A 20254-nucleotide genomic window follows, 5' to 3' on the forward strand; every position below is an offset into this window, starting at 1 on the left:
CAGGCTCCAGGCCAGTAGTTGACCAGAAATGATTGATTGCTCTAAGCACTTAGAGCCTAGTCTGTTTCCATGAAGCTCTGCAGGAAGCCAACTTCTTTTCAGGGAGGCCAGCCAGCAGGGGGTTAATTTTGTACAAGTTAACCCTTACCACTTATTCAAGTTTCTGCCACAGTGAGAGCAGAGGTACCAGAGATTAAGGGTACCAGAGACTAAAATGTTTAAAATGTTTCATCTCAGGGTCTGGGCCAGGTAGTGAAGGAAGCAGAAGTTAGAGGAGTCTTGACAGAGAAAATAGAAAGGCATCAAGTACCATAGACTTCCATTGCCATTGTTGTGTGGTTGTGCAAACTTTGCAACTTATTTCCACTTACATTGATCAGCTGTTGGAACCATCAGTTATTTCATTTTTTTGAACAGCTCTACTAAAGTATATTTGACATAAAATCAATGCAAATACCTTTTTTTTTTTTTTTTGTATTTTTAGTAGAGACGGGATTTTACCATGTTGGCCAGGTCTCAATCTCTTGACCTCGTGTTCCGCCTGCCTAGGCCTCCCAAAGTCCTGGCATTACAGGTGTGAGCCACTGCACCCAGCCTCAATTGCAAATACTTAAATTGTACAGTCCAAAAAGTTTTGACATCTCTCCACACCCGTGAACTAACACCATTATCATGATAATGAACAAACCGATCGCTCCCAAAACTGTCCCCATACCCCTTTCATCACAGCAGGTGTTGAGGGTCCTGATTTGATTTTTCTCACCCTGTTTGTTTTATGACTAGTTGCCTGTGGCTTTGAACAAGTTATGTCTTTTCCATTTTGTCATTTCCATAATGAATATAAAGCTAACTTATAAACTAGAATATTTTGATAATTAGTGATTATAAAACAAAGGACTAGAGATACAACTTTTATTATAATAGTGAAAAGTGAAAATGGAACTGGCTATATAGGAAGAAGCCATTAATCTTGATGACAGAAACTTTGGGTCAGATTCCCACAACAGATTCTTCACAGGATCTAACAGAATCATCCAGTAAGGAATGGGGAGCATGTCCTTTTGCTCCCATGCCTCCATAGGCTCAGTCCAGTCTGACCTCAGAAACAGGCTCTTGCCCTGGGCAGGAGGAATGTAAAGATTCCCTCCACCCAAATTCCGAGCTCAAAATTAAATTCCATTTTTTTGCTGTTGGTGACAGCATCTGCTGTACACACAAGATGTTGCCTGATCTCTCTGGTGTCCGTTTCTGGCTTTTGGTTGGCCAAACCCACAAGTCTCCAAATTCTTAGTTGGAGTCCTCATGCCTACTGCCTGACCATTCTCTCCTCACTGCTTGTCTCCTTGAGCTTACTTCCTTGCCTGAACATCACTGTCTCAGCCAGCTTCCATCTTGCAGCCTCTGATATGCAGAAGACATTAACTCCCACCCTACCCCAGCCTCCTTGGCAGCCCACCTGGTTTGTCACTGACCTTCCAGATCCAAGCATGACAGTTTAATCTCCATATCCAATCCTCCCCTGACCTGATTAATTTTGCACTTAAGCAACTTCCATGATAAGTTATACTTTTTTTCTTTAGTCCCCAGAGTCAGTTTAGGACCTAGTAAAAAAAAAAAAAAAATCAGGCTTCTTCCATCTAAATTCAAAATCAGTGTTTGGAAAACTGTCTTGGTACAACAAAATCATCTACATTTATTAATTTAGTGGTAAAAGATGAAGTGATAAAAATAATCTCTGAATCCCAAAATGTCTGCAAATGAGAATGAAGAAGAATGCCACGGGCTAGTAGTTTTAGCATATACACTCTCCAACTGTTGGGGCTGATATAGCCCAGTTGAAGAGTGCATGTTAAAAAATATAATGTTAAATATATATATATATATATATATATACACACACACACATATGTATATAAAATAAGTTGGGCTTATTTATAAGTTGGGTCAATTTATACATCTGTCTGTAGCTGTGACTGTTAAAATGTGCAGTCTATAGTATAAAATTGTGATTATGTACCCTAAGAAATATTGTCGTAAGCCCTTTAAAATATGCAGCATCTATTATTCATTTCCACAGAGACATAAAATTTAAGTGGCAGTAAGAAAATTTAAGTTGGACACTTTGAAACAGTGAGAACAATTAAGCCAAGGAATAGGCAAAGGAATCTCCTACCTCATCAATAACAGTTTTTTGTTAGATGATTTTTGAGATGCTATCTGTAGACTTGAGACTATCTCAGGATTATGGAAATGATTCTAAATTGAGGGTGGCTTACACTTGTAGGAGGTGTAATTCAAGTGGCAGTTTCTATTGTAGACACAGATGCATGTTTAAGGATAAAGTGCTTTCAGGGATAAATGAATTTCACAAAATTAAACCTCAGAGAGCTTTCCATTTGTGACCCTACACTTCAGCATCTTTATCCAGACTTGATATCACTCTTTCAGATTTGGGTTCAGGCTATTTCCATCCTAAGTAAAAGAGGGATTAAAATCAAGGGAAAAGAGAACCACCTCCTGTGACTACAAAGGTATTCTCAGCAGTGTGGCTATTCCCAGCTTCACCTCTCACTGGTGAAATCCAACAGAAGGAATTGCAAATTCCTTAGGGCCACCTCTAGTGGGTTTTCTCGGTTGGAAAACCTCAAAGGTAAGAGTTTAATTAGGAATTTAACATTGGCTTCGAAAAAGAAGTCACAATATCTAGGTATTTCATGCAGGGAAGTTGAGTCACTCACAAAAGAATTTCCTGCTAAAAATTCTTTAGTGGCACAGAGTGTGTCTTGCTAATTGGGGTGATGACCACAACAACGCCAGTGGCCAGCCCTTTGCCCAGGGTGGCTGCCTCCATTAGGAATGGCAGTATGCCCTTTTTGTGTACTCTGAAAGGCGCCTGGTGGGGAGGCCCGAGGAGCCACTAGCAACCTTTGTGCAGAGGGCAGGTCTGGGCAGGTCATGGACCGGCAGGACTGAGAAGCCACCTGCTGACAGGGTCTTTCTTCCTCATGAACGAGTCCAGGGGATTCCTTTAGAAAAAGTGCTATTTTAAGCATGACGCAGCCACCTTTAATGATTTCCAGGGAAGGAAATGAGTCTCCCAAATCAATTATGACACTCAATTAGGTTACTTAGGCCGATGAATCCCAAGTGAAATTAGAGGATGGGATGTGTGATTCAGTGGCCTGCAACTCTCCAGGCTGCAGGGCCCAGGGACTGCCAGGGTGGTGTTTTGCTAATATTCCTCTTGTACCTTTGAAGTGTAGTGCTCAGTGCCAGCCCAGTCCTGAGCACAGTGTGAGTGCTCAGTTAAAACTAAATCTCAATGCTCTCTTTTTTCTGTGTTTGATCTATGCACTCACTTGGAAGATCAGAAATGCTTGGAAAATGCATTTTATGTCATGAAAAAAGGCTGAACATCCCTGGCATATGGTCTTTTAATTTCTTTACTGATCTGAATTTTTGAAGTCACACTGGTGTTTTTCAATATTAAAAATGACCAATTAATTTGTTTTTCTATAAGCTTCTCTGAGAAAGAGTGCAAGTAGAAGGAAACAAATGTTAAATCTGTGCATAGGAGCCATGCAATTCCTAGGAGACAGTATCCATAACTTGTCTCAGTGTTGGAAGGTGCCCCAATAATGGGTAGAGTGTCTGTGCACAACTATTGTTGAAGAGACCAGCCTGTAATCAAGAGGTCTTTCCCTAATGCACAACGTGAAGACTTCTGCAATCTTTGGGGCTACTCCCTGTGCCTCTGATCTTAACACAGTGCTGAGTGTCCCACAGCCACCACAGGTTTTGTCATTTCAGAGGTGGGGCAAATGGTTGTGCTAGGTGTGCCCACCAAAAAGGAATCCAGTTAGTGGTGCAACAGGAAACTAAAACCCAACCCTGATCCCTGCTCTCTAAGTCATGCTTTCTGCCCACTGAACCAAATGTTCCCATCCTTGAAGGGGGCACCTTTTTTTCTAATGCACAAAGGTACCATATGATCTAGTAGAGGCCCTGAAGTTGTGATTAGTTGCATTATTGTGGATGTCTCAGAAAACTTGGCAGATGTCCATACCTGCAGAGGTGTACTGCAGCAAACCCCAGAAGTATGGGGAAAGCCAGCGTGCAAAATCAAGGCTCAGAATTTTCCAGAATTGAGAAAATATGAACTCACAAACACAGGAAGCACATTAAAATAAAAAGCAAAATAAAAAAGAAATCCACACCTGGATAGGTTTTAGTGAAACTATAGAACACCAAAGACAAAGGGAAAATTTGAAAAGCAACAGGAAATAAAACGATCCATAAATCACAGGTAGGCTCCTTATAGCAATAAGGGAAACTAGAAAACAATGAAATAATATTGTCAAAGTGCTGACAGAAAATCACTGCCAACTTATACTCTCAGCATAACTGTATTTCAAGAACAAAGGCAATATAAACACATTTTTGGCAAACAAAAGTTGAGATCATAACTAAAAGATCTTTACTAAATGCACTTCCAGAGGAGATAGAGAAACTTGTTTCAGAAGGACAACCTGAGAGACACAAGAGGAAAAGTGAGCAAAGAAATGTCTAAACTGGAGGTAAATCTAAACAACATTATTTGCATAAAGTAGTGATAATCTCAAACCTGATGTCTTAGAAGAGACAAAATACTGAAGATGGAAGAAAGACTGATTAGAATTAAAGCATATTAAGGGTCTGTGTATTTTCCCAGTGAAAAACTATTGGTATTGCTTACTAATTTTGTTAAGCTTACTTGCAAAATTTCAAGGGTGATCACTAAAACAGAAATGAAATGAATACTTACAAACTAATAGAGGGAAAAATGGAATAAATAAACAAAATATCCCACCAAGCCCCCCAAAAGGCAAGATGATACATAGAAGAATCAGAGGAAATGTGAATCAAATAGAAGAAAGAAAGTAAGATGGCAAAAAAAAAAAAAAAAACAAAAACAAGCCCAAATATATCAGACATCACAGTAAGTGGGATTATATTAAACTTGCCAGTTAAAAAATAAGAGTTTCAGATTGGATAAAAAGTAAAACCTACTGTTGATTATAAGCAGTTCCCCTAAAACATATCTAAGGACATGAGATAGTTGAGAATAAAAGGACAGAAAAAAACTAACCATGCAAATACTAATAAAAATAGAGCTGAGATGGCTATAATAACAGCAGATGAGATAGACCTTGAGACAAAATCCATTCTTGTGGCTAGAGTGTGTCCCAACATAATGACAAAGATTTCAACTCCCCAGGAAGATCCAACAATTCTAAAATTGCAGATAACTAATAAAATAGCTTCAAATGATATAAATCAAAAGTTGATAGAACTACAGATACAAATGGACAAATCCTTTCTCATAGTGAGAGATTTCAACACATTTCTCTCAATTCTTGATAGGTCAAAGAGATTTTTAAAAAATTAGTACAAATATAGTGGCATTTTATTGTCCAATAATTTCATTTTAAAAATAAAAATGTATATAAGTACCACTCTGAACATAATAACTTAATCCAATCCCAGTAAAAAGCAAAAACCCCTTATGCTTTATTTAAACTGAGAAAACACATTGTTATTGTATATATATAATTTCCAATGTGCATTTAGAAATTTTAAAATTGTCTAGAGATTTCTATCTTACTATCTCAATTTCATCCAATGATCTAGTGAAACCCACACAGTTTAAATATAGTCCCAAAGAAGAGTTGAACAACACAATTCATAAGCTCAATTTAATGAACATCTAAGGAAATCCATATTCAACACCTGAAGAATACACATTATTTAATAGAATTCATGGAATATTTATGAAAACTGACCAAATGCAGCAATTCTCAAGAAATTTCGAACAAATGGAATCTGACCACAACAGAATTAAGTTTAAAACGAATATATAAAAATGAGTTACATGTATGTATCAGAAATAGAAAAACGTAATTACAAAAAAAATCCTGTCTTATTTGAAATAGAACAAGTGAAAGGAAGCTAGGAAGAAATAATACTAGCCGTAAACATTTACGTGATTCTTAACTATTTCTCAGACCTCTTTCAAAATATTTCATATATATTAATTTACTATTTATAGTAGCCCTTTAAAGTGGTATAATTATCTCCATTTTAAAGATGAAGAAATTGAGGCACAGAGAGGTTACATAAGTTTACACACCCAGTAAATAGCAGGATTCACACCCAGGTAGTCTGGTGCCAGATTCTGTACTCCTCATCACTATCCTTTGCTACTTCTCAAAAGACATGAAAGATCTCTGGGAAGTCCATAGAGGTTTATGGAAAGACATTTGCACCTAAGAGATGGCTATATCATATTTAGGATTGGAAAGACTCCAAATCGTTAAGATATCAATGCTTTCCCAAGTTGTTCTTAAATTCAGTGCAATTTCAATCAAAATATTAACAAATTGCTTCCAGGAATTCAACAAATTGATTTTAAGTTTTATATAAGACAACAAATATTCAATAAAAATAAGACAATAATTGAGAGAAAGAATAAGGTAAGATTTGCCCTACCAGATGTAAGGACTTGCTATACATTGTATTGACTAGGGTAGTGTGGTACTAACCAGAAATAAATTAGACCAAAGGAATAAAATAGAGAAGAGAGAAAGACCCACAAAACAATTGACTTTTATATGGCAAAAGTAACATTGTATATCTTGGGACTAGAACTGACTAGTCAAAGGCGATTATTAAAAAGTCAGGGGGCCGGGCGTGGTGCCTCATGCCTGTAATCCCAGCACTTTGGGAGGCCGAGGCGGGCAGATCACCTGAGGTCGGGAGTTCAAGACTACCCTGACCAACATGGAGAAACCCCATCTTTACTAAAAATACAAAAATTAGCTGGGCGTGGTGGGGCATGCCTGTAATCCCAGCTACTCTGGAGGCTGAGGCAGGAGAATGGCTTGAACCCGGGAGGTAGAGGTTGTGGTGAGCCAAGATCATGCCATTGCACTCCAGCCTAGGCAACAAGAGCAAAACTCCGTCTCAAAAAAAAAAAAAAAAAAAAAAGTCAGCAAACAACAGATGCTGGCAAGGCTGTGGAGCAATCACAATGCTTTTACGCTGTTGCTGGGAGTGTAAATTAGTTCAACCATTGTGGCAGACACTATGGCGATTCCTCAAGGATCTAGAACCAGAAATGCCATTTGACCCAGCAATCCCATTACTGGGCATATACCCAAAGGATTATAAATCATTCTACTATAAACACACATATACACACATGTTCACTGCAGCACTATTTACAATAGCAAACACTTGGAACCAACCCAAATGACCATCAATGACAGACTGGATAAAGAAAACGTGGGACATATATACCATGGAATACTATGCAGCCAGAAAAAATGAGTTCATGTCTTTTGTAGGGACATGGATGAAGCTGGAAGCCATCATTCTTAGCAAACTAACACAGGAACAGAAAACCAAACACCGCATGCTCTCACTCATAAGTGGGAGTTGAACAATGAGAACACATGGACACATGGAGGTGAACATCACACGCTGGGGCCTGTCAGGGGGTGGGAGGCAAGGGGAGGCAGAGCATTAGGAGAAATACCTAATGCATGCGGGTCTTAAAACCTAGATGACGGGTTGATAGGTGCAGCAAACCACCATGGCACATGTATATCTACATAACAAACCTGCACATTCTGCACATGTATCCCAGAACTTAAAGTGAAATAAAAATAATTTTTTAAAAAACTGACTATTCAATAAATGGTGTTTGGACAACTGGTGAAATTGGGCATATGGAGAAAGACTGAACCCTACTTCATATCATACACAAAAACTAACTCAATATGATTCAAGACTTAACTGTGCAAAAGCAAAAAAGTACAAAAAATTAGAAGGCAATATAGGAGAATATTTTGTTGAACACATGTTCCTGAACAAGATGTAGAAAGTGTAAACCATAAAAGAAAAAGCTGATTTCCCAGCTGCATTAAAACATTTCTGTTCGACCACAAAAATTTGAACACATATTGAGTATTAGATGACATTAAGGAATCATTAATTTTATTAGATAAAATCATGGTATTATGTGATTTTGTTTTTTTTTAAGAAAGACTCTATTAGAGATACATAGTGAAGTATGTCCTAGTGCAATAATATGACGCAGAACTTGCTTTAAGATATTCCAGGAAAAAAAAAAGTGGAGGGAAATACATGACATGAGATTAGAAAACATGTTGATAACTACTGAAACTGGGCAATGAGTATGTGGAAGTTATTTTACAACTCTCTTTACTTTTGTATATGTTTTAAAATTTCCATAAGAAGAAATAAAGAGAGAAAGAGGAGGTAAGAGAGGAGGAAGAGTAGAATTACATTTATCAAAAAATACTGTGCTAGTCTGGGTTCCCCAGGAGGTAGATGACAAGGTGGAATTAAAGGTGCAAGAGATTTGCTGGGGACAGCACCTGTGAAGAATAAAGGCAAGAAGGAGCAGCAGTGTGGGGGAGAGTCTGAGACTATGATTCGGGCCTGACACCTAGGAAAAGAGAGGGGCGAGAAGAAGGATTGGATAGGAAGAGCCTCTGCCTGCAGTGCCACACTGAGAAAGCCCTGGGCAGGCTTCAGTACCTCCACCATGCTCAGGTTTGACCAGTAGCATGTGACCCAAAGGTGTGGCTAATGAAGGATGTCAACTAATTACTTTCCTTACAGTAGGTTCTCTCTGAACAGTGCACTCCCATGGTTACCACACATACCAGAAAGGAAGTGAAAAAACAACCACAGACTTGAAGGAGTAACAGAAGACTGGAACACTATAAACACTATAAAGAATTTCAAGAAAAAAATATAAAAGTCAAACAAATATAGAATTAAAAACAGGCAAAAGACAAAGCAGGCGTTTCACTGAAAACAAAATATATAGTCCAAAAGTATATGAAACGTTTCATCAGTAACAAGATAAAAATTAAAACCAGTTCATACCCACAAGATTGGCAAAAATGTTAGAGTTGAATATACCAAGTGTTTGTGAAGTTATGGAATAAAAGAAACACTCCATTGAATGCTTGTGGGAGCACTAATTGCCTTGGGAAATCAGTGTGTCATTAGCTCACAAAGCTGAAAACAAGAATTCACAACCCAGTAATTCCACTCTTAGTTATATATCTGTTTGCTTTCTATTGCTGCCATAACAAATTACCACAAACCTGCTGGCTTGAAACAACAAAAATGTATTATCTTACAATTCTGCAGGCCATATGTCTATATGGGTCTCCCTGGAACAACAGGAAGGTGTTAGCCGACTGCATTCCTTCCTGGAGGCTCTAGGAGAGAATCTGTTCCCTGTTCTTTTGCATTGTTGGCACAATTCCGTTCTTTGAGGTTGTAGGACTGAGTTCCCTGTTTATTCACCATAACATGAGGGCTGTTCTTCATTTCAGAGGCCTCCAGATTCTTCTGCTTTTGGCTCCCCTCCTCCATCTTCAAAGACAGCAAGGACAGGTTGAGAAGTTCTCGAGTTGCATCTCTCTGATCAATTCTTTGGCCTCCATCTTCTGCTTTTAAGTACTTGGGTGATTAGTTTTGGCCCACCTGGGTAATCCAGGATAACCTCCTTCTCTTAAGATCCTTAACTTTAATCCCATCTGCACATTCATTTTTGGCCATGTAAAACAATATGTTCACAGACTCAGGGGGTTAGGACTTAAATGGTTTTAGAAGGATATTATTTGGCCTACCACATCATTGTAAAGACACTTACACACACACCAGGATACATGGTTTGGAATGTTCATAGCCACATAGTGCATAGACAACAGAAACTGGAAACAAACCAAGTGTTCATTAATGGTAGGATGGTTGAATAAATTCTGGTATGTTTACAAAGTGAAAAACCATACAATAGTGAAATAATGAATAAACCACAGATACACGAAATAAAATGCTAACACCCACAAAGTTAAGTAGTGGACACACAGCAGTCTCTGAAACAATCATTCTGTGTCCTCTTTACTTGTTTTCAAGCTCCAGATTCAACCCACTTCCCCTTTAGTTCTCCCAGATTCACAATCCCACACGTGTTCAGTGGGCTCAGCATTGGCATCTGGGATCTCAGTTCTGAACTCTCAGGGCTCCCATAGGCACTGGTTTCTCATCTTCCCACTGGCTTTCCCCACAATCCTCTACCCCAGAAAGGCAGCTTGATCCTAGCCTCCCACTCCCAGCCAGCCCCTGACCCAGCTCTCTGGTTGGACATCCCTCTAGCTTTCCAAATCCCAGAGGTACTATCAGAAACCACTCAGTCACAGACCCCTCTGCAACACAGGAGCTCACCAAGGGGGGAAATGCCTATATGTTAGTGGGATTTCAGGGGAGGGAAGAGATAGAAGATGATCTATTTTGAAGGTATATTTCCCGCCTAAAAATATGGCCTTGGTTTCTCATTCCTGTTCATTGTTGAACTCAACAGCTAAGTTGATAACTTAAAAAGCAAAGGAAATGTAGCAACTCTAAACTTCTGAGAGAGTAAATATGAAAAGTTAGTTCTCTATTTATAAATAGAAAAATACTCTTTTTATGGTTAAGGCTTGGCGATAGTTATTTTTACTCAGGAATTTCACCAATTCTTTGCTGGACTGAGGAAGAAAATTACCTTTCACCTAAACAAGAGAAAAATATTATTCATAGCACTTAAATGTTGGTCTCCAGCCTTAACTGTACATCAAATGACAAAGGGAACTTTAAACAAATACTGAGGTCTGGGTCCCATTCCTAGTGATTCTGAATAAATTGATCTGGAATGTGCCTGGCAGCAAGGGTTTTTAAGGTCTCCAAGTGATTCCAATGAACAACTAAGGTTGAGCTGACAACCTGTCCCTAGGATAAACATGTCAACACAGGTCCTCACTGACTCTTCACAATCCTGTGAGATACCAGCCCTGCAGATGAGAAAGCTAGGGCTCAGAGAGGTTAAGTAACTTACCTATGACCACGCAGCTAGTAAGGGTATGAAACAGCATTTCCAACCAAGTTCATATGACTTCAAGTCCATGCACTTAATCACTAGCAAGTGGGAAAAAAGCTGTCATTGTGAGGAAGGGTGAAATTAAATGTGGATAAGGACCTGCTTAGCAACTTTAATTTCCCACTCTAGAGCCATTACATTCTTACTTACAGACACAGCCAAGGCCGAATCTCTAGGACTCTTGTTCTTGAAAGAAATCTTAAAAGTTTTCCCAGTGTATGCATCATCCTTGTACCCCAGATCTGGAAACTGGGCTCTTGTCTTATGCCTATGAACGGAGGCCCTGTGGTCTCCTCTAGCCCAGGAAGGATGAGCATAAACCATGGACAACAGAACTAGAGTCCTGGGTTCAAATCCTGTCTGCATTTGATATATTACTGTGACTTTGGGTAAGTCAGCTAACCTCTCTCTCAATTTCCACATCTATAAAATGTGAAAATTAAAACCTACATTGTTGGATTGTAGTAAGGAGTAAATGAGATCTATATAAAGAGATAGTATAACATCCAGCTCATAGCAGGTACTCAATAAAGTGTAGCTGTAGTATGATATTATAATTAATATAATGATTATTACTTGGTACCCTTGTTTCAATGGAGTAAGATTGTTGCTTTACCTTTCCAAGAATTGCTTGAATGCTGCTATTGAATCCAATTTTTTTTTTTTTTTTTGCCTCAACCATAAAGATGTACAGCTCAATCTCTGTGATGCCTGAGGCTTGCCCTCTAGGACTTCAACCTGGTACCCACAGTCAGACCCTACTTCTACCACTCTCTCTTACCATGCTTCTCCTGCCTGTGTCCTAGAGATACTGTAGATGTTCTTGATGCAAGGCCTATGTTCGTCCGGATCCCTGCAGAGCACCCACCTCAGGGCTGTTCCAGATCACCCATGTGACCCCAAAAAATATGCTCCCCTAGCTTCCAAGTCTCCAGTCCTCTCCTCTTTGGGCCAACTTGCTATATCCATGGCAATCCATGATATTACTTCTGCCAAGTAAAAGCATGATGTTAATGCATTGATTTGTGTATCAAAAATTCAACACCATTGGTTTTAAAGTTTGGGCTGAAGGATGAGACAAACCTTCCCAGTTTCCTCAGAGGGATTCCAGCCTAACCCAAAGCCACAAATGTGGTTGGGACGGAACTCTCATTTATTCCAATCGTTGCATAAACATAGATAAAGAGGCATAATTCTCTTGAGAGATTTTCAAGGTCCTCCTTAAAGTGTGTTTCCCTCACTATTGTGGTTCTAAACTATAGCCACAGCCTCAAGACCAAATTACAGCCTTTGGCGGCCGGTTTCAGTCTGGTGGTTACGGCAATGAATTTGGAGTCAAGAATCCTGGAGTCTCAGCCAACTATTCCCTGGGTAACCACAAGCAAGTTAGCTGCCCTTGTCTCAGTTTTTCTATCAGTCAAATGGGGTAATTTTTCCTTCCTTCCATTTACTTCAAAGGCGTAGGTTATGACAATTAATTACCTATTGGCCACGGTAAACTTGGAACTTTCTGTGCAGTAACAAAGCTATTGTCAACTTTTTCCTTCAAAGCATAATCCCCGAATCTTGGGATTATTTTAGCTTTTGGATATATGAATGTCACCGCTGGAGGTTCATTCAGGGATGTTTTTTCTCTAGGGTTACTGAGCCACATACTCAATTGCCTTAGTGCTGGCAGATGGAAGCAGAAGAATCTTCCAAAACATTAAACCAAAAAGCCTGGATTCAGCTGAAGAGAACCACATTGCTAAATCACATGGGTGGCTTTCTTTAGTCCCAACGGCCTGAGCTTCCCCACAATATACACACCTAATACCACTTGAAAAATATTGTAAAGAATATAGTTTGGTATTTACAGGTAAATATGACCTGGTTAAAATTTCCCATCTCCTCTTCCTGTTTGTGTAACACCAATATCGTTCTTTATCTGCCATGTCTCTATCACTTTTAGTTTTGAAGGGATCCTTTTTCACAATCCATATTTTAACACTGAAAAATTCTATTAGCTCCCTGTATACAACCAGTGACAGACCTGTGGAGGTGGAAACCCACCCACGAATACTACTTTTAGAGCAACTCTGAGAAAGAAACAACTTGAAAGTTGAATTCCTATAGGTGATAAAAGTGATAGGCATTGAGAAAAGAAATGAAATTGTAGAGTTATCAGATATTTTAATTTTTGTGCATACATAGTAGGTGTATATCATATTATTTTTAAGTGCTTAAATTACTATTTATATTGCTGGGTTTTCCTCTTTAGTATTGTTTTGTACGGCTGTCACTTCTGAATAAGAGTATAAATTTTGACAATTTAGTAAAATATTACTGTTGCCACATAATGTAGATTATGAACACACTCCTGTTTTTTAGAATGGTTAGCTGACAATTGAAATAGAACAAATACACCTCATCACAATTATTCTTCTCTGCTATAAAATAAATAAAAATTATAGTACTGGGAATTTTAGCCAATTACAGTCCTCAACTTTAAATAGTGTGTTTCATTATTAATGCTTAAATAGATATATTCTAAAAAGGACTCAATGAAATTAAGTATTGCATATACATTAGATATAACAGATTAATTCACTTTGATTCATGTGGTGTAGTGTAAAGATTATTCATCAATCAGCTACAGATTCAGCTTCCCAGGTTTGTCTTGGTTCTTCCACTAACTCTCTTTGTGACTTTGAATAAGTTCCTTCATATGTCAGGGCTCCAATTTCCTGATTGTAACTGGTTCATTTGTGTTCCTTTCCCCTCTACCAAAAAAAGACATGTTGAAATCTTAACCCCTAGTACTTCAGAATGTGACCTTACCTGGAAAGGGGTTCTTGCAGATATAATGAATAAGATGGTCCTACTGGAGTAGACGGGTCCATCAGACTAGTGTCCCTATAAGAAGATGGCCCCCTGAAGACAGAGACACACAGGGAGAATGCCATGGGACAACAAAGGCAGGGACTGAAGTTATACAGCTGCAAGCCAGGGAACATGCAAACCACCAGAAATTAGGAAGAGACAAGGAAGGATTCTTTCTCACAGGTTTCAGAGGGAGCATGGCCCTGCTGACACCTTAATTTCAGACTTCTAGGATTTCAGACTTCTAGCCTCCAGAAGCATGCAGCAATAAATTTCTGTTGCTTTGAGTCACCCAGTCTGTGGTACTTTGTTATGGCAGCCCTAGGAAACTAAAATGCTGATCTTTAAATTGAGAGTGCTGAACTCCGAAAGCCTCATCCAGAAATATATTTTTATTTTTCTAAGTCAGGAGTCAATTTTTCTGTAAGCTTTTCCTGTAAAGGGACAGATGATAGGCTTTGCAAGTTACGTAGTCTCTGTCATAAATACTCAATTCTGCTGATTAAAAGCTGCCATAGATAATATGTAAATCAATGAGTGTGGTTATGTTCCATCAAACTTTATTTATAGACACTGAAATTTGAATTTCATATAATTTTCCTGAATCAGAAAATGGTATAGAAAAAATTTCCCCACTACTTAACAATATACACGTGATTATTAGCTCTTAGGCCACACAAAAACAGGCAGGGGGCTAGATTTTGTCTGCAGATGCAACTTGTTGAACCTTGTTCCAGGCTGATAACATAAAGTTGGCCCACTTGGTCAAAAGCATGACAGAAAAGCAATATGCACTCTTTTATTTAGGATACATAAGATAAGTGGCCTGACTTGTGAATGAGAATTGTATTCATGGAGTGATATCTGTCTATAATAAAAATATTTTTATGAACCCACTTGAGAATCACATTTCAAAATGCATGATAGTGTAGTGGTTTTTTAAAACTCCATTTTATTACTTTATCTCTTTTCTTTAGTATTCAAAGATATTTTAATAGTAGCACAAATATTAATAATGAAAATGATCACTATTTGTTGACACAGGGCTTCATTTGGCACTGGGCTAAATGCTGTACAAAATTATCTCATTAATCCTACAATAATCCTGCAAGTTACATAGTCCTTTACCTCCTTTATAGATGAGGCTAAGTAACATGCCTGAGGCAACATGACTAGTACATAACTGAGCCAGGAGTAAATCAGGTGATTCTGACTTCAAGGTATATCATTGAAACCACTTTAAATACTATTGTTAATTTCTTGTTATGGTTGATTCTAAATTTCCAATGTTAATCAAGTAATAATAAAATCTACAATTTTATTACTAATAAATAACAAAATCTATAATTCATATTAACAGCAAATAATGGAAGAAAAACATACTTTATTCTAACTCATTAAATTAGATCAAATATAACATTTGATTTGTCTCAAATACTGGAGTTACATGAGCAAATGGCCCAGCCTTAATCTTAAGGCTTACTTAGCTTTGGGAAAAACATAAATTATGATGTAAAACTAGATACTGCTTTATAATATACTCTTTTTTAACCACCCAGTGACAGAGAAGGTAGAAAAAAAATCAAACTGACCTGTTGATAGCATATGTGATTAAGTTCTTTGTTCAGGTTTATTGACAGATGGCGGAAAATAGAAGAAAGGATATAGATGCCAGGGAGATGGAGGGTGGTGTAATCAAATACAAAACCATCTGGATCCTGTCCCTGTGTGACCTAGTGTTTGTGTTTAAGTTAAACTTTTTGTATCCTCATCTGACAGATCACAGACCAAATTTCTAAACTGAAGCATTCTTTTGGCAAACACAGAGGAGCAAAGCATTGTTTGAGGAAATTATATACTTCATTCATATAAAGATTAAGTCAGTGAAATTATTAAAATGGTAGAACAGGATTTGAGAGCTTAATCTGCAAGGATGCCATCATGCTTGATTTACAGAGAGCATGCAATGTGCCTGATATAAAAATGTCTGTAGAGTACAAACCTAGCAATCTGCTTTGTGTTACTTTCTAATAAATGTCAATGGGGAAACTGTGTTTATAGCTTGAAATATAGGGAGGGAGAGAAATCCAGTAGCTTGCCTCATGGAGATATATCCTCTTTGTTGATTCCACGAAAATGTCAAATCAGTACAACTGCTCCAAGGCTCTTGGTCTTCACTTCTGCACTGATTAAGCTGCATGCACGACATTTTGGGAATAATAAACTGCATTCATAATATGCTGACTCAGTGAGAATAGCAAGCCCCACAGATTTCAATGAACACAATGTCCACAGCTATTTTGTAGCTAGAAAAATTAAGACACCTTGAAAAAACAACCTGTTTCAAAACAAATTAGAATCAGAAATCAGCAATAAGACTTAAGTCTATCCCTTTTCTGGGACAGCTGCATTATGGGGTTTAATTTTGGTGACATTTTTTCAGTGATAGTTTAGTAGAAACAATTCTCACTTCCAAAGCTACAATAGATTTATGGAACTCTCACTACATCTTATTGAAAACCAGCTTTTACCCATTTAATTTGGTTTAACTGACATTTATGAAGAACTTTACTAGATCTAGAGGTAAAAATGCTGAGTAAAGACAATCCCCACCCATGAGGACTTTAGAATCTAATGAGGAGGAAAAACCCACAAAAGAAACTTCAGGGTAGATAATTTTACTTGAATGAGCCTAAAGAACAAGATAAAGATATTGAGCGTGATGGAAAACTGAAAGGGAGGCACAGAGCTCAACCTGGGAGTTCAAAAAAGTCTTCTGAAAGAGGATACTGCAAAAAAGGAATTCTTACAGTTAATGAACATATAACCGATTGAAGAGAAGGGAGGAAAAAGCATCCTACCCTGGAGAAACTAAATAAGCAAAGTTGAGAGGTATAAGACATTGCGGAGCATGCCTGGAGAGGATGCTCCTCAGAGAGCAGAATTACTCATGTAAAAACTCCAATTTATGGCTATTCCTAAATGGAAAAACTAGGTATCTGGACAATATTATTAAGGGCTTTAGATTCACAGTGTAAACAGTAATTGGGGAAACCTGTTGTTATTACATAATGCCCATATCGGGATAGGAAATCTGATCCTAGAAATCTCTCTTATAAAAATAGGTTTTAGAAAACCAAATATAGTACTCCCTGGCTGATGACATGGCCTGTGCCTGCTCTTAGGTCAGTGTCCTCATTGGGTGAAAGTCTGTGGTAACTCCGAGTAAGACAAACAGAAGCTCAATGGCCTCTCATGTATAATCACCTGAAAATTATTTACTGAACATCCTGCACACCCAGTGATTCTTCTCAGGACTTCTGTGTAGTACTTTGCACTTCTATCCCTTTTCTTTTACAAGGAAAGAGCGAACAGTGGTGGGCAGGAAACCAAGAGTTGTGCCTGTTCTGCCCCAAGGTCACTGCTGGCCACTGAGCTGTAGAAGGTTGCAGATAGCTACCCAAAAGTTTGATGGAAAGAGCCTCCATTATTACGATAAATGCAGGCCCACCTAAGTATTAGCTTTGAGGGAAGACATCGTAGGTAGGAGAAGGCAGTCGTCCAACACCTCCAGCTTCATCCCTGCTGAGTTTTTCCTCACTCTAGTTTTTTACACTTTGATTTTGAGTACCATCACTTCCTGGATGGTGTCTCTATGACTTGGGCACTGGAGAAGGGGTACCTTTTGTTCTCCAACTGCAATAGTCTGAAGTGTCCAAAAACACTTAGTATGAAAGAACAACAATAACACCACTGGAAGGACACTCTCTAGTTAAGCTAACAAAATAGTGGCTTCTCACCATCCCAAATCTGATTCTTAGGATAAACACTAACTCCAAAAGGAAATATAACCTCATTAGCATACTATATGCATACCTTTTCCCTGTCCTCTGTCCTGCCCCTGCAAGATGCAATAACACTTCCTCTTCTACAGGGTCAGGCACCTGGTCACCAGGGTCCTTCCTGGCCAACACAAAGAAAACATTTTTCAGCTGTATGAGAGTAGTATAGTGGCCAAAAACCACCTGAGTCAGACTGCCTGGGTATCACTTACCAGAGGTGTGACCTTAAGTAAATCACTTAGTCTGTTTTTCTCTGTTTTATCATCTGTAAAATGGGAATAATGATACTACTTAGAATTAAGTGAAAAAATGCATATATTTACCACACATAGTATATAAAATTAATTGTTTGTCTTTTAGGAGGCAGATAATTAATAAAATAATAAAACATGGAAGTCATTTCTTCTAATTTTTATTTTTATTTTTTATTTTTATTCATTCTTTTTGAGACAGAGTCTTGCTCTGTCACCCAGGCTGGGATGCAGTGGTGCAATCTCGGCTCACGGCAACCTCCACCTCCCGGGTTCAAGCAATTGTCCTGCCTCAGCCTCCCAAGTAGCTGGGATTACAGGCATGCACCACCATGCCTGGCTAATTTTTATATTTTTAGTAGAGACAGGTTTCACCATGTTGGCCAGGCTGGTCTCGAACTCCTGACCTCAGGTGATCCACCTGCCTTGCCCTCCCAAAGTGCTGGGATTACAGGCATGAGCCACTGTGCCTGACCTCCTTTTTATATGAAAGACATGACTTTCCACTGAACACTGGTGACTGAAACAATAAATAGGGTCACCCTTCAAGTAAGCCCCTGTTATGTAGCTACAGGAAGTATCATAATCTCTTACTACCCAACAATACTGCAGTATGCTAACCATAATCCTACCTTGCCCAGGCTGGACCTTCACCCAGGCTGCTCTCTTTGCCTGAAATGCTGTAGCACCACCCCACTCCCTCCTTACTGACTCCATGCACATATCCACATGACTAGTGCTCAATAATAGCTCTCCAATCCTGTGCATCCCAGCTCTTTACATTTAGGTGGGGCCATGAACACATACAGGTTGATGATCTGTTAACAGCAGAGGAAAGCACTGCACATTCTTCCCTTTTGGTGGAGAACATAGCAGCCATACGGGGTTTCACAGACCAATATCATCAGGAGTACAGTTGCCCTGGAAAACAGACTTTGTGTAAGCAAACTTTTAAGTATCAAGCCACTGTGATCTGTGGGCTGCTTGACCACAGCATAAGCCTGGCCCATCCTGAAAAATGTACACCCCTTATGCCCCAGTCCCATCCCCATCTCTACCTCCCCTCTCCCTGACTCCCGCCAGCCAAATTTTTAGATCATGAATTATATATTCCTCAGATAAGCCTAATGGTCATTCTTTCTAGGTAGGTCTCACTCTTGCTATTCTCTATTACAGAGTCCTGTTCTTTCTTTAAAATTATTTTCCTCATTATTTGTAATTACATATTTACACATTTGTCCACTTCTGTCTTCCTTGTCTCCACCACTAGACTGTTAAGATCCACCACAGATCTATAATTATGGTCATCTAGGCTTTACTTACCAACAAAATAGGTAAATCAACCAGGGCTTAGAATATTACTAGGGCTTATAGAGCAGTGTTTATACATATATTTTAATGAATGAACATCAGTCTGTCAAAAGAAGTATACAGGCTGGGTGCGGTGGCTCACACCTGTAATCCCAGTGCTTTAAGAGGCCTAGGCAAGAGGGGGATCACTTGAACCTAGGAGTTAGAGACCAGACTGGGCAACATAAGGAGACTCTTTCTCTAAAAAAACAAACAAACAAAAAAATTAGCTGAGCGTGGTGGTGCATGCCTGTGGTCCCAGAAGATACTTGGGAAGCTGATATGGGAGGATGGTTTGGGCTCGGGAGGTCAAGACAGCCGTGAGCCATGATTGAGCCACTGTATTCCAGCCTGGGCAACAGAGCAAGACCCTGTCTCAAAATAAAAAGTAATAAAAGTATACATACAATGCATACAATGGCAGGAAATTTGTGGTTTCATAATAGGAATGATGAATCAGGGGAAGGACAAATTCCACTGAACCCTGTGCTGGGCCAGAAATTTTGTGCACAGAGGAAACTCATGGGCATTGAAAAATCACATCTAAGAGAAAAATCAGCAGACTCTTGACCAAGAGCCAACAAACGGAATCCCTGTTATGCTCTCTTCTGTCCTGGAAAGCTGTGCACAAGCACGAGGGTCCTCCATGGAGGAAGAAGGAGCAGGGGTGGGTGACATGGAAGGCTTTGGATCTTTTAGGAGCATGGGGACACAGTACCTCAGCCCACCCAACAGGCAGCATCGTTGATTGTCAGGACCACTTCTCTGTTATTCATGGACATGGCCATCATCCTGAACCCCACCCCACCCCCCAAAAATAAATAAAAAGCAAAAAAGGAAAAGGTGGAAAATATAGTTGCATTTCTATCTTGGAGAGAAGAGATGATAAAATTTGAGGTCTTTTCTCCTTTCTCTGGAGAAAACTGTCTTCTGCACACAGTATGGGGCAA

At 39.0% G+C, this 20254-nt stretch overlaps 1 protein-coding gene across 16 annotated transcripts in view, besides 2 other annotated features; it reads right to left on the bottom strand.

Annotated features, from left to right (window-relative positions):
• SEM1 (SEM1 26S proteasome subunit) overlaps positions 1-20254 on the bottom strand; it is a 228221-nt gene that overhangs the window by 173359 nt on the left and 34608 nt on the right. Inside the window, exons 3-5 of one of the 16 annotated variants that reach the window (XR_007060160.1) lie at positions 18762-18875; positions 17916-17968; positions 1473-17824 (exon numbers count right to left, since the gene is read on the bottom strand). The exons of 10 other annotated variants lie outside the window; for them this stretch is intronic. Coding sequence is in view for 1 of the 6 variants with exons in the window: in NM_001393900.1 (NP_001380829.1) it covers positions 18776-18875 (100 nt within the window). In the remaining 5 variants the exon portion in view is untranslated. Of the gene's footprint in view, positions 1-1472; positions 18876-20254 lie in introns of those variants that run through there. 5 more of the 16 variants (NR_038948.2, XR_007060161.1, NR_163952.1 and 2 more) reach the window with 5 other exon arrangements.
• Positions 2432-2932: an enhancer, noted in NCBI's record as "H3K4me1 hESC enhancer chr7:96286728-96287228 (GRCh37/hg19 assembly coordinates)". NCBI's record gives its function as "activates a minimal SCP1, AML or CMV promoter by ChIP-STARR-seq in primed H9 embryonic stem cells {active_cell/tissue: H9 hESC(primed)}" and the evidence as "EXISTENCE:reporter gene assay evidence [ECO:0000049][PMID:30033119]".
• Positions 2933-3433: an enhancer, noted in NCBI's record as "H3K4me1 hESC enhancer chr7:96287229-96287729 (GRCh37/hg19 assembly coordinates)". NCBI's record gives its function as "activates a minimal SCP1, AML or CMV promoter by ChIP-STARR-seq in primed H9 embryonic stem cells {active_cell/tissue: H9 hESC(primed)}" and the evidence as "EXISTENCE:reporter gene assay evidence [ECO:0000049][PMID:30033119]".

This window comes from Homo sapiens, chromosome 7 (genome assembly GCF_000001405.40).
Source record: "Homo sapiens chromosome 7, GRCh38.p14 Primary Assembly".
Lineage (NCBI taxonomy): Eukaryota > Metazoa > Chordata > Mammalia > Primates > Hominidae > Homo > Homo sapiens.